General features: G+C 35.9%; 1 annotated feature.

The window, feature by feature from the left end:
• Window positions 8,199–9,398: an enhancer, noted in NCBI's record as "CDK7 strongly-dependent group 2 enhancer chr11:79650639-79651838 (GRCh37/hg19 assembly coordinates)". NCBI's record gives its function as "activates an origin of replication core promoter dependent on BRD2, BRD4, P300/CBP, MED14 and CDK7 cofactors, with strong dependence on CDK7, by STARR-seq in HCT116 cells {active_cell/tissue: HCT116}" and the evidence as "EXISTENCE:reporter gene assay evidence [ECO:0000049][PMID:35650434]".

Here is a 15,287-nt window from a genome sequence, read left to right on the forward strand (position 1 = left end):
CCATCCATACCGCAGCCACAGCCACTAATCACTATCATTGCAGGTCTACTCTTTGTTAGGTACTAGGTAGTTTACATGTACTCCATATAAAGCTTACAACAACTCTCAAGATAGGTAACAGAGGCTTTAATTTACAAATGAGGAAATTAATGTTTAAAGCAGGAAGGTGATTTACCTATGACCACACAGCTAATAAAGGGAGAGCTGGCACTTAAATCCAGCTCTGTTGGGCTCCAGTGCGCATACTCTTTCCATAATACTAATTCACATCTAAGTCCTTTCTCTGTTTGAGACACTGTTCTAAGTAGGTGGATTAACTCATTTAATCCTAAAAACAACCATGAAAAGTAGGTACTAGTATTATTCTCCCAGATAGCAAGGCCAATAAAGCAAAGTAAGGAATAGTCAAGTCACTTGGCAAAGGTCATGGGGCTGGTATTTTATGAGGTTTCCAGGGTAGACTGTGAGACCTCAGGCCAGTGTTCCTAACCTAGCTCTGAACTGCCTTTTATAGACATTGCCAGAAAGCTTACCAACACCACCAGGTGGCTTATGCTAGAGAAGAGGGCAATAATAAGGCAGAAATCAGATTAACACATAGAGTTGGGGAAGCCGGAGTAGACCCCTTTGAGCTAAATATTCCCAGGTACATACCTATCCAGCAGAGAAGCCCCTGCCAGCAGTGTGGCTTTGTAAGCTGAAAAAAGACTAAATATTGAATAAAGGTTCCTGAATAAAGATGTTTACTTCCCTTCATGGCTATCAGTTTGCCCAGCTTTAGATTTTACTTCTTGCATTCTAAGCAAGAAAACACCCTTAAAAAAGCAATTTCTTTGTCATGTTTTTAAAACAGATAAAATCTAGTTTTCATTTTACCATCTTATGAAATTTATGTTTTCTATTACCACTAAAAGTAGCATGGGGCCAGTCAGACACATTGTTTTAGAATCATAATCTGAATTTTGAGGATTCGTTCTGAGGTTGAGCCTTTATAGTTAAGGGTCAAACAAGCTGCTGGTAAAGTTAAAAAATTATATTTATTAGAGAAGTTAGTAAAGAGGATATTCTTTTCACAAAAGATATTTTCCAAGACACTCTCCAACTGAAGACATTGTTTTTGCCTTGACTGTTGACTCAATGCCTCATAGAACATCAACACGAGGGGGGCAGTGAGCCTTTGAGACTTTAAGTCCATATGATCTTATCTAAACTAGATGACTTCAACATTTTTCAAATAGGGATAATAGTGGCATTTAACTCATAGAGTTGAAAGTAAGTGAATGAACAGTACTTTGAAATTTTTTAAAGACATGGATACTGAGGCCCAGAGAGGCCAACCTCTGAAAGCCACCCAGTGAGCTGGTGTCAGGAAAGCACCATGACTCAGATGCTTTAACTTCTAGCTCATTGTTCCTGTACTGAGTAATTCCACCTGTTTCTTTAGGAATAATAGGGCACCTGAGACTGACTTCAAAGCATCAGGCCACAGCCTAGATCCCATCGAGTCCAAGGTGACTAAGGTGGAGAGGCAGAGATTAAAATGCTCATCAGTCCACTCAAGCCTTCCCAGTGCCCATTACCCTCCCAAGGGCATTTTACTATCTCTGGTCCCATGACAGTTCCACACTGTTAAAGGTGTTGCTGAAGCTACAGTTATTATAGTTATTAACATTTTATGAGCTTGTTACTCACCCCTTAAGCTTCTTAATATAAAGTGGTACATTTTAAAAGCACAGCACATTCCTAATTGATTCTGATATAAAAAGATTGCTGGACTCCTTGGATTTCTGTCTTTGCTTCTGAGTCTATGGTGCATTAAGGAGGACAATACAGATTTACGGAGTTAGAAGTAGTACAAGACAGCTCAAATTTTTTTCTTGCTGGAGATTGTACAATTTTGTTTATTTCAATGGACTTTTATTTCTACTGTCGTGAATGAGGATTATTGTTTAACCTCTGGATTTTTTTTCCTTGTAGATGCATTATCTAATGTCTACATCTAAGGGGCCCCGAATTGCTACATTATGCAACGGTAACTCATATTTGGACTTGGGCTCTTCAGACTGTAACTTTAACCTATGGAAGTTTTGTCAATGATTTATCTCACCCTTTGCAAAATAAGTATCTTTATTTTGAAAAAGGCTCTGGCCCCAAATTTGGAAAGCCTATGCCCTAGTCCTGTGTGACATCCTCAGCCTCCTGCCTCTGATTTGTAAGATGAAAACCATAGCCTTTGCCCTGCATGGCTCAAACGATGAATTTTAGTGGCCACATGAAGATTGGAACTTAGATTCCTTTACCTTCTCACATTTAATGAAAATAGTATTCAGAAACAGGTTCATAAAACTGCTTTAAGAATGGCAAAGGAATATACAAACAAAAGAGATTATTGTTGTTATCATTCACTGGGCAATTTACTGAATTTCCTCTTATATTACAAAATGTTTGAAGTTCAACTGAAACTAAAATGATTTCTTAAAATTAGAAAATGATGATTGTCCTTGTGACTATCACTTGGTTGAGTATAAATTTTATATTATTTTAGACTATAGGATGGGGTAGGATAACCCATGTTCTTCAGAGGATAAAGATATGAATACAATTTGCACCTGGGCTGAGAGTTTGACCCCATCTCTTCTCCGAAGGAGATTCCTATTCTCCTTTTCTCAGTTTCTTGCCCTGGATGGGGATAAAACTTGTATCCAAACAGGAAAAATATTAAAGATGGGAGTTTCCACTTCTCCATGACAATGTTATGATGAAAATACCTGACAGATTGTTTCTGAAGTACTTGCATCACTTTAGAAGTAAATACATATATCAATCATTATGCTAAGAATGGATCTTCTTTCATTTTCTCCTCCCACAAATATTTACCAAATATCCCACATTATGTCAAGTCCTGTGCTGGGCACAGATTTCCCGACTCATGGTTCTCCCAGTTTAGCTGAGGATCTCCCATCACAGTACATGCAGATAAGTTTGTATTATAAGAGGCAAAACTAGAACCAAAAGAGTAAAGGCAGCGTCACTGCCATCTAGGTGGAGGAGGGGACATTTGAATTGTCTTGAGGGATGAATACGAACCACCCAGATGTAGGAGAGATGGGTGACGGGTTTGCTACAGAGAGAAGAGGGTGTCCAGAGGCAGCATGTTGCATAAAAACATAACACAGACTATAAAGGACAAGCTCTTTGATGTTCATGGAACAACAGAGTTGGTCTAGTTGGGTATCCTGCAGTGATAACACTTCAGGATTAGCTAAGGACCAGGTCTCTGAAGGTATGGGAGGATAACATTACTGCAGAAAGATCCACTGTCACATCTGTTTGGGGCTGGGGGGTGGGTATCTGGATTCCATACATGGAAGAACCAGTGATAATTATAGGATCTTAATTTTACAAATTCTTTAATTTCTTTACTAATAAAATGGTAATGATTCTATCTCCCATATAGGGTGGTTTCAAGGATTTGGTCTTTGTAAAGGGCTGCATATAGAGCAGGCATTGAAGGTCATTCCCTCCAGTGCTCTAGATATCAACCCTTCTCCTTATCTCAAGGTCTTTACTGCTGAAATTATTCCCCCCTCTTTTGAGTCATTAATTTCTTCCTCCCTTCTAGATAATTTATATTAACTCACCAAAATAAATACTCACTTGATAATTTCTTTGGTTTAAAAAAATTCTTATCTCACTACATTCTATTCCAACTACGGGTAACTTTTCCATAAAATTAGAAAATTTCTTGAAAGAGATCTCTATAGCTTCTCCCTACCCTTTATAACTTTACATTTTATATTACCATCAAGCTTTCACCTCCACCATCCCTAAAGACTGTTCATGCCAAGGTTATCAATCATCCCCAGTGGTCACTTCTCTGTTCTTTTGTCCCTTTCCCTTTCAGCAGTGATTGACATGCCGACTTCTCTCTCAATGGTGAAATGTCTCCTTCTGGCTTCACTAATGTCACAGTCTGCTGATTTTCCTCTTACCTCCCTGTTCCTCCTGCTTTGCTATCTCTGAATGGTGAACTATCAAGGTCTTTCTCCTTGGCCCTTTTCTCTACATCTGTCCTCTCATTCAGCCCCACAATGTTTTATTTTCTTTTTAAGTTCTGGGATACTTGTGCAGAGCATACAGGTTTGTTACACTGGTAAACATGTGCCATGGTGATTTGCTGCACCTGTCAACCCATCACCTAGATATTAGGTGCAGTATGCATTAGCTATTTTTCTTGATGGTCTCCCTCCCCCACCCAACCCCTGCCGCCACCACAAGCCCCAGTGTGTGTTGTTTCCCTCCCTGTGTCCTTATGTTCTCAGAGTGTTCAGCTCCCACTTACAAGTAGGAACATACAGCATATCTACAAGGAACTTGAATTTACAAAAACAAACAAACAACCCATTAAAAAGTAGGCAAAGGACATGAACAGACACTTCTCAAAAGAAGATATTTATGTGGCCAAAAAACAAAAGAAAAAAAGTTCAACATTACTGCTCACTAGAAAAATGCAAATCAAAACTAGAATCAAAAATACTATCTGACCCAGCAATCCCACTACTGGGTATATACCCAAAATAATATAAATCATTCTATTATAAAGATACATGCACACATATGTTCATTGCAGCACTATTCACAATAACAAAGACATGGAATCAACCCAAATGTCCATCAGTGATAGACTGGATAAAGAAAATGTGGTACATATATACCATGGAATACTATGCAGCCATAAAAAGGAATGAGATCATGTCCTTTGCAGGGACATGGATGGAGTTGGATGACATTATCTTCAGCAAACTAAGGCAGGAAGAGAAAATCAGCCCCATAAATTTAACACCATGGAAAGACACATCCACATTACCAGCCCTGATCCTTTCCCAGGACTCACATGGCACTTAGAGTAAGATAAATTTATCACTATGGCTTATGAAAACATAAAGTTCTTAACTCACAGCCCTACCTATGTTTCTGACCTCATCACATAACACTCCCCTTTGTTCATTGCACCCAGGTCACATTGCCTTTAAAAAGAAATTCTTTGAAGACACAAGCTTGCTCCCTACTGCCACAAGGACTTTATGTTAGCTATTTTCTCTGACCAGAAAGCTCTTCTTCTAATATTCACATGTCTGGCTCTTTCCAGCCTTCCATGAGTACTTTATGTAAAGTAATCCCAACATACTCATATTCACATGACTTTATTCTAATTTTTCACATAGCTGTTATCCCTATCTGATAATTTTTCCTATTTCATCTTGATTGATATTTTCCCTTTACTATAATGTTAGCCCCATGTGAGTGGGGAATTCATTTATCTTGTTAATTCCTTTATCCCAGGTCCCAGGACACTGCCCGGCAAAGGTAAATGTTCAATAAATATTTGTAAAAGGAATGGCACAAATAAATGTTAGTTTTCTTCCCACAAACCCTGTAAACAAATGCTATTTGAGTGAATGAATAAATAAGAAGCACTATCTATGCTTGTCTGCTCCCTTCTTTCTGTAGCCAGCCTTTGCAGAAATCCATCACATGCATTATATTTAAATTGTTCCATATGGTCCTTCTTGGGTGACTGGGTTTTACTTTTTCCTGAGTTTGTCCCACTGGTAGATCACCTTAATTTCTTTCAAGTCTTTGACATTATTCCTTTTATCCAGAAGGAAATAAAGGCAATAATTAGCAGTTGTCATTAACTATAAGCTGCTCTTGAAGGGTTGGATACTCCTTTCTAATCTTTGAGGGTATGGAGGTTCCCTCCTAGAGTGGAATTAACATGACTTTCTGAGGAGGTTATCCTGAAATATCCTGGCATGGAAATTTTACAGTGCATTTTTATTTGACACATAAAGGTAAAAGTAGAAAATAAACAATTAAGGGTCCATATTTAAAGCATCTTGCTTAAATTGGCCTGAATAATTTTAACTTTGCTTCCGTTATAGTTGCCACTGCTTAAAAATGCAGTGACCCATCACCTGAAGCAATAGGTTCCTGCTTCCCCCGCTCTGCCTTTCTGTGGACATTGAAGCAGTGGCCACCCCGTGAGGATGCTTTGTGGATCAGCCTTTGTGTGCTAGAGTATTTCCTTTCAATTTAATCCAGTTAACATATTTTGAGTACACATGTTGTACCAGCATTCTGCTGAGCACTTTTACATGGATTTACAAAGTACTCTGTGAGGTGGGCATGATGGTCACAGTTTGACAGATGAGGAAACTGGTCTTCAGAGTGATTTGTAACTGGCCAAGGTACACAGCCAGTATTCAAATAAAAATCTGTCTAACATAAAGGTTGGTTGTCCATAGGTTTAGCTTTTATCCCAGAAACTAGGTCCTGCCTAGTCATAGAGCTTCCAAGACCATTTTTCTAGTATCCTCTGGTAACGTGGAGGTGGGTTGATATGTAGAAGCGTATTAGGTAACTGACTACTAAATCATTACCATATGTGTCACCCTCACCCGTGACCTCTTTCCCTGTAGAAAGTTATTCTACCCTCCCATCCATCTTTTGCATATATAGTCATCCCTTGGTATTTGTGAAGGATTGATGCCAATACTCCTTTCAGATACTAAAATCCACTGATGCTCAAGCCTGTCCTATAAAATGACACAGTATTTGCATATAACCTATGCACATCTTCCTATATACTTTAAGTCACCTCTTGAGTACTTACAATACCTAATACAATGCATAAATATCACTTCATTTGTGTGGATTCAACTTAGAACTTGGAATTTGGCATGTGGCCAACTCAAGTCTTATTTCTTGGAACTCTGAAATATTCTTTCTCCAAATATTTTTACTCCACAGTTAGTTGGTTGAATCTACAGATGCAAAATTCACAGATATGGAGCACTGACTATATATAACTAGGATCCCAAAGAAGCACCCTCCAGCCAAGGACAAAAATGAGTTGGTAAAATCACTAAGAGGTCTCAAAGACTTTTAAGTTTTATTCACTAGTTGACCTTGCTTGCTCATTTTCCTCTATTTAAAGTCCTACAGCTGCCAGGCTATACGATTCCAAATATTGCCATTACCCACTTTAAAAAACACAAAACTTCCACCAGAGTATGGTCAAGTAAATACAAATTTGGAGGTTTCAGCTGAGGATCCTGTGGTCCGTCTCAGAGAGATGACACGATTGCTGTGCTCACTGTTGCAGAATGTGCAGGTAGCTGGGAGGTGCTGTATGTTCCCTTTTCCAAATGGCTGAAATGAAAAAAATCTCCAAGGGTAAAGAGGTACAGACTTGACATTTTTTGTTTTATGTCAGTTTTTCAAGGATGTGGTAAGGAAAGTATCCACGTTACTTTAGAAAAATCCCATTTTCAGGTATCTTCCTCTTCTCTTTTGTCCCATTTAGTGCTTAACTGACATGTGGAAGGACAGGGGTATCAGGAACAAGAGGAGCTAAGACAAAGAAGGGAAGAACACCAGCCACAAGGAAAGAAGAATGAAAGAAGAACGTGGAAGACAGCAATGTGAACTAGAAGAAGGGAAGAGAATATTTATTGAGAAAACTCAATGTACCAAGAACTGCTGTGGAGATTCCGCTCAACTCAGAACGATTCAGTGCATAGACATTATTATTTGTCTTAGAAAAGTAAGAAAGTCAAGTATAGGCAGGAGACATCATGTGCCACTGCTAGTTAGGAGCAGTCTGGCCGCAAATTTCCTTTTTAATTCTAACTCAATTAATCACCCTAAAACTCCAGGAGGTAAGCCGTATTCTGCCCTTTAATAGAGAAGGGGAAACAGACTTTTAGTAGTCAAACATGTTTGTAAAATACTGGCTTTAATTTAAACTGCTCTCTTTATTATAGGACTTCCAGAAATTTTACTTTACTAAGAATGACTCTGCAAGAAGGGATCATATTCAGCAACATCACCTTGTTGCGCAAACTCATCGCTCACGAATCTTTATTTACTACAAATTATTTTTAGGACTTTGAAACTATCCAGAGAAAAAGAACAGTTGTTCAGCTAGCACTAGGTTAGTTCAAATCCAAAGCTGGCCCATGTTCACTATTTGACCTTAAGGAATGTATTTAAACTGTGTGAACTTCCATTTTGTCATCTATATAATAGAGGAAATAATTTCTGTTGTCTTCACATTGTAGGACAAGTAAATGTGCCCTACATACTCTTGTATGGTGGGTGAAATATCAAGAGCCTCCTTATTATGGCAGAGAGGAAGGTGATCTCCTTATTTTTCAGGTCCTGGGAAGCCCTTCTGTCCACTGAATAAAGCTTTCCATGGGGGTGGCAGTTGGTGAGGCAGCAGAATCCCAAAGTTAGCAAAAAACCATACCCATGATTGTTCAGCTCTCTTGGTAATTCATTGCTGAGGTCTTTTGTATGTAAACTCTGTGCCCATCTCACTTAGAGCCTAAAGTCCAGATAAGCTGCCCTGCTTGGGCTGTGTTTCACATTTATCTGCAAGTAAAGAAGCAAGTCAGCATTGGAAGACTCATTCTGGTTAAGAATTTAGAACATGTAGGTCTGTTTCAGGCACAGCCATTTACTAGCTAAGTGATCTTGGGCAAATTGTTTAGCTTCTTTGTGCCATAGTTTTCTTATTGGGATAAGGTGAAAATGAAATGATTGCTATGTGTAAAACATTCCTTCCCCCTGACTTTTTTTTTTCCAAAGATAAAATGAGTTCACTATTCAAATGGAAGATGGTGGCTGTAACTTCTGGCACATAGTAGGAATTCTCTGCTGTAATGTGCTCCTGAAGAAGGTTGTAATCTTGATAGAGATGTGGCTGTAACATCACTTTCTTTGCAGTAGCTATTCAGGTGAATGAAAAAAGTAAACATTCTTTGTCAGTCTGTGAAAGCCTCTATGTCCTTGGGCTTTTACTGATCGCTCTGCCTGCTCCACCTGGCTTAACCTGTCACTCCAGTTCATCTCTCAAGTTTCAGCCTTGTCTTCTTTCAGGCAGTCATCCCTATGCTCCCCGCTGACTGAGTCACATGACCCTGCTAGGTGACCCAGAGCCCTTGTTCTTCTAACACTTGCAAACACGTCACACTTACATGATCACACGTCTTACGTCTTCCCCAACAGACCTGGTCGGCTTCCCAAAAAAGCCCAGTGAAGGAAGAAACAACACATTCTTGCTCACCATTCTATCCCAGGTCACAGCACATGCCCAACAAAAAGTACAAATTTAAAAATAACCACAGATGAACAAGTGAATGAAGGTACATAACTTTCCCAAATTAATTAGTGACAACTAATATGACTTCCAAGATCATGTGCTTTCCACTAACCCTCATTAGCTACTAACAAAATTGTTAGATTATACAACGATGCTTGCATTTTACCAATCAGCTCATGCCTATGAACAAACCCACACTTATTGAATTCTATAATTGTTCTTGGGAAGTGTTTAAGGTCTATTTTGTTCTTAGGAGAAAAATTAAGAAGATCCTTCAGTTCAGTTTCATTTTAACAAAATCAGTACCCTTAATATGAAGTTAGAATTATATTTATGCTTATTCCTGAGGGGACTGCAATTTAATGAAAGAATGTGACATGCTAATAAGTAGTGTTTGAACAACATTACAATGCTATAATGGAGAAAGATATGAAACCCATATTGTTCATATGAAAACACTAATGAAAGGAATTTAAAGACTACAAAACTTTAAATAGACCATTATTGACATGAAGAAACTGAAGCAAGCATGAAACAGCTAGATAATCCAGGGAAGTTCCCATTGTCTTCCCTCTTAAGGCCATTAGCCTGCATTCAGTATTTAGTCATAATGAAGTCACGCAATCTTACATATTTGAATTACTCATGAAATATGTGAAAAAACATTTTGGAAGGGGGAAAGACATTTTAAACAAATACGATTTGCAGTCTTTATGTTACTAGTTTTGTGAAACTATCCTAACTTTTAGAACAGAATATAACACACAAATATAAATGTTGGTTTGAGTAGCAGAATATATTGTGAACACAGTTCTTAAAATATGAAAGTATCAAGTATTCAGTTGTGGCACCTGGTTTTAAATATAAGACTTGTTCAATTTGAATACACCTTTTGTGGTTTGTTAAACTCTGAAAGTGTTTACATTGTAAGGATTCTTCAGCAGCTGAAGTCTGAGCTTAGGTTGGGATGGTCAGGGATTGGGTTAAGCTCTTTCACCCCTGCTTCCTACAGATCCTAACGACTCACCCTTACTTAAATTTTTTTAACCACTTTAACCTTCTTTAGAAGATAGTATATCATATTAGAAAAAGTGTGGACTCTGGAATCAGACAGATCTGGGTTTAAATCTCAATTCTGATGGTTCCTAATTAAACTTGGCATCATATACTTCTTTGATATTTGTCTCCATCCTTTCTCCATGTGAGGCTCTATATAAATGAGATAAAATATGTAACTTTCCTTATCATAGTAACTTAAAAAATGTTAGCTACTTTCTAGCTGGAGGTTCACACAAGTCCGCTTATGCTGATAACTTCAATGAGTAAAAATGGGGAAAGCGTGGATACATACAGAAGTGGGAGCTCTGGAGAAGTGGGAAGTATAAGACCAGTCTAGGAGAAACAGCTGTTGCTCATCTCTGGCTGATTGTTATTTTTAAGTGGCAATTAATTAAAAAACACAGTTTGAGTCTCTGCTGCCACTCAACATGGAGTAAAAGACGACAAAACTCACTTACCTATTTGAAACAACTAAAAACAAACAACAAAAAAACAAACTATGAAACAACATTTTTCAGGAAATTGGATCCCAACGAACAAAGAACAAGGACCCTCCCTGAAAGATGGTTGGTAAGCAGATGAGGTGAGCACTGTGATTACCAAAGTCTACTGTTTGGGGAGTTTCCAGCAAAGGATAGCCTGACAGTCTCTCTGACTCAAGTCCGGGGGAGGCCAAGGTGGATAGAGCTCACAGAACAGAATAGCACATGTCTCTGAACACATGGATGTTATTGTCATAATTTTGTTGTCAGAATGAAAGTAATATACATAAGATCACATAGCACCTACACATAGCATCTACACTTAGCAGATGCTCTCTTCACTTATTTTTCCTGGTTTAATTTTCTTTTAAAATCCTATTCGATTAGAGCCTCTGCCAATCCTTATAATAAAGATTACTGAGCATACATTTTGTATCAGGCATTGTTTTATGAACCTTATATGTAATAAGTTTTTTAAACATTTGAATACAGTATCAATTATTAAATATAAAAATACATTTTCAAGTATAAATGGCATAGACGGTCTACATACAATGTCTCATTGAATTAAATAAACAAATTCATGAATTATTTAACTGGTCTTTGTATAGAAAAGTCACATATTTTCACATTGGTTTTCTCTACCACACCCAGAAGTCAGCATTCCATTTTCAGCATAAATATTTCCACATGCATATGAATGATTCCACATTCTCATTTCCTCTCATGCCTTCAGATCTTTAAACACTCTAAAAAGAATAATTTGTAACCATACATTATAACTGGAAGACTTTTTTACTCAAGTTTTCTAACACACCCAGGGTGCATTGAATTTTGAGTGATGCAATAGAATGGATTTGAGTTCTGGCTCCATCAGCAATTCACCAAGTCATCTCGCCAAGCTGAGAAAGCTGCCCTTGTGAAACAAGGATGGTAGAATTCATGAAACGAGGCAGCTTTGAATACTGTGAGATAATTCAGGTGAAGTGTTAGTACACGGTAACTATTTAAAAAATGTTAGATATTATATTTATTATTTATTTACTAACTCTCACAATACTGTCCTTCTTGTTGGTTGTTTTGTGAATTATGGTTTATTTAATTCATGCTGGCTGCTACAAAGTAAGCATTAGATGGCTACAATTGTGCCAAACTCTTGTTGGATACTTTTCCTGAGTTCAAGGTGGAAGTTTTCATGCCCTGCTTCCCTGTAGAAAGAATAGCATATTTCCAGAGCCTTTGATTAAAAAATTAATCATCTCAAAATAGCTCAGTCCAAATAAAATGTAAGCGAGCACTATTTCATATTTGATATTTAGAGCAAATGCTGTGGGTTGAGTATAAATTCAAAGGTATAATTAGTTATCCTTAACTAGTTCTTAATTGTACATTAAATTAATTTTTCAGTGAAACTATGTTCTTTTTCTTTTTCCAATTATGAGCTATGATTCAGGGAGACATTTTCACCTCTCCGTTATCTATGCTTTTAGAGTCTAAAATACCTGCTGACTTATTAGCTTCACCTATTAGTATCTGCACAAGAGATTATGTCGGTCTGTAATTTTTATGAGAGCATGGTTAGAGTAGTTCTTATATTTCCTTCCTAAACACAAGGATTTCTAATCCTTGGAAGACTCGAAGACCCAAATAGGTTAAGAGTCCTTTTACATCATAAAGTGTTAAGTGCAGAATATATCTGCTGCAAAACATAGCATTGATTCAAATCATTCAAATACACTTTTCTGAAGATGCAAGTTTGACCTGATTTGGGTAAATGACTCAAGAAAACTTAAAACTTTATTGGTCTAAAGATGTCTTCCAGTATGGCTAAGTAAAGACACAGATAGGATAAAAGTAAATGAATAGACAAATATCACACAACAATGAGCATAAGAAGGCCAGAATGAATAAATTAATATCAGACAAAATAGACTTCAAAACAAAGAGCATTACCAAACATAGACTCAGTCACTTCATAATGATAAAAGTCAATTCACCAGGAAAATATAGCAATTGTAAATGTTTACGCAATAAAAGAGCTTTAAATTAGATGAAGGAAAATTAAAGGGAGAATGAACATCTCCAGAATAATATTTGCAGATTTTAACATCCAACCCTTAGCAATTGATACAATAATTAGAAAAAAAGTAAAAACATAAAAAATGAGACTAACACTACTAATTCCCTTGAAATAATAGATATTTATAGAACACTCTATTTCACACCTAGAAAATACACATTCTTTCCTAGTGTTCATGTTATATTCACTACGATGAGCTATATTCTGGTCTATGTAGTAAATACATTTAAAAGGATTTAAACCATAAATAATATGTTTTGTGACTACATTAGAATTGAACCAGAAATCAATAACAATGAGATAGCTAGAGTATCATATTTTCAAATTAAATAACATACTCATAATACTTAGATATACTTAAAAATTTAAAAATAAATCCCGAGGGTCAAATAATAAAAGAAGAAATCATAGGGAAATTAGAAAAATTTGTGCCAAATAACAATAAAACACAGCATTTCAAAATGTGTGTGTTGCAGCTAAAGCAATGCTTTGAGGAAAATGTATATGTTTAAATGCTTAAGTTGAAAAGCAGATCTAAAAATCAATAACCTAAGATTCCAATTTAAGCAGCTTAAAAAAAGAAGAGTATAGTAAACTTAAAGTGAGTGGAAGGAAGGAAATAATAAATTAAGAAGAGACATAAATTAAATAGAAACCAGAAAAATAAAGTAGAAAGCAAGTTTGTTATTTGAAAGTATCAACGAAAGTGTTACATCTTTAGTTACACTGATGGAGTAAATAGGAGAGAGAATATAAATTGCCTATAATAGAAATTAAATGTAAAGTCTAATATGTTAATTTTATGAATAACATTATGCCAGGAAATTAGACAATTTAGATGGAATGAAAATATATTTTGAAAAATAAAACTTATCAAAAGTGACTCAAAATGAAACAAAAATATAAATATTTTGATATCTGTTAAATTAATTGAACTTGTATCCAAACTCTTCCCACAATATAAACTCCAGGTTCTGATCATTTAATTGTGAATTATATCAAACATGTAATGATGATATACTATAAACCCTTTAAAATTTCTTTTAGAAAATAGAGGAAGAAAGACATCTCAACTTAATGAGGCTGACATAGTGCCAATATCATGACTGGACAAGGACATAATAAATATAATTCCTCTTATGAAAATAGGTACAAAATGCTTGGCAAATTATTATCAAGTCAATTTTAACAATACCTAATAATAATAACACATCATAATTACTGAAGTTTATCTCAGTAATTGAGGGTTTATTTAACATTTACATTTACCATTTACAAACCAATCAATCTAAGTTATCATGTTGAAAGAATAAAAGGTAAAACAGGGATATGATTGTAATAATAGTTCTAGATGAAGCATTTGTTAAAATCCGACACTAGTTATGTTAAAAACTCTCCATGAATAAAATATATCGTCCTCAATCTGATATATGGCATTTAGAATTATCTTCTAGCTAAATCATACTTAGTTGTTAAATATTGAACACTTTTCTTTAGGATCAGTAACATGACAAAGGTGTCACTTCTTGCCACTTCTAGTAATTATTTTACTGGAGGTGCTAGGCATTCTAATCAGGTAAAAGTCATAATAATAATAATCATCAAAAGACCAAAAAGGAAGGAAGCAGTTATACCATACTGACTTGTAAATGACTTGGCTGTTTTTTAGAAAATTCTAATAACTGTATCAATTACTAAAACTAATGACCGAATTCAGCAAGATTATAGGATACGAGACTAATATACAAAAAACCAATTTTTACATTCTAGCACTGCACTATTAGAAAATTGAAATAACACATTTATAATAGCATTAAAAACAAAATAGGAATAAATCTAACAAAAGGATTTGCAAGACTTCTACATTGAAAACTATGAAATATTGTGAAGCGAAATTAGAGAAGATATAAATAAATGGATTTGAAGGCTCAATGTTGTTAAACTCTCAATTCTACCAAAATTCCAGAAAGCTTTTTGTGGGGAGAGTTACACATTGACAGATTAATTTTAAAATTTATATTGAAATGAAAAGCACCACGAATATCCAAATCAATCTTGAAAAAGATGAAAAAGCTTGGGAAGTTGACCCTAACTGACTTTAAGACTTATTGAAAGACTACAATAATCTACAGAGTGTGGTACTGGCATAGGGATAGACCGATCAAAAAAACGGAAGAGTGACCAGAAATAGAGCTACCTTTATAAGGTAATTAATTTTGGGGAAAGTTTACCAAAGTAATCCAATGGAAAATGAAAATTTTTTAACAAGTAGAGCTAAAATCACTGGATTTTGATGTAGGAGACAAAATGATATTAACATCCAATACCATATATACAAATTAATCCAAAAGGGATCATAGGCTTAAAGAGGTAAAAACGTAAAACTTTTGGTGGAAAATAGAAAATATATTTATAATTTGGGGGTTGGTAAGTATGTTTTATACACGTCACTGAAAATGATAGCCATTAAAAATCTCTGATTAGACTTTACTGA

Source organism: Homo sapiens, chromosome 11 (assembly GCF_000001405.40).
Source record: "Homo sapiens chromosome 11, GRCh38.p14 Primary Assembly".
Taxonomy (NCBI): domain Eukaryota; kingdom Metazoa; phylum Chordata; class Mammalia; order Primates; family Hominidae; genus Homo; species Homo sapiens.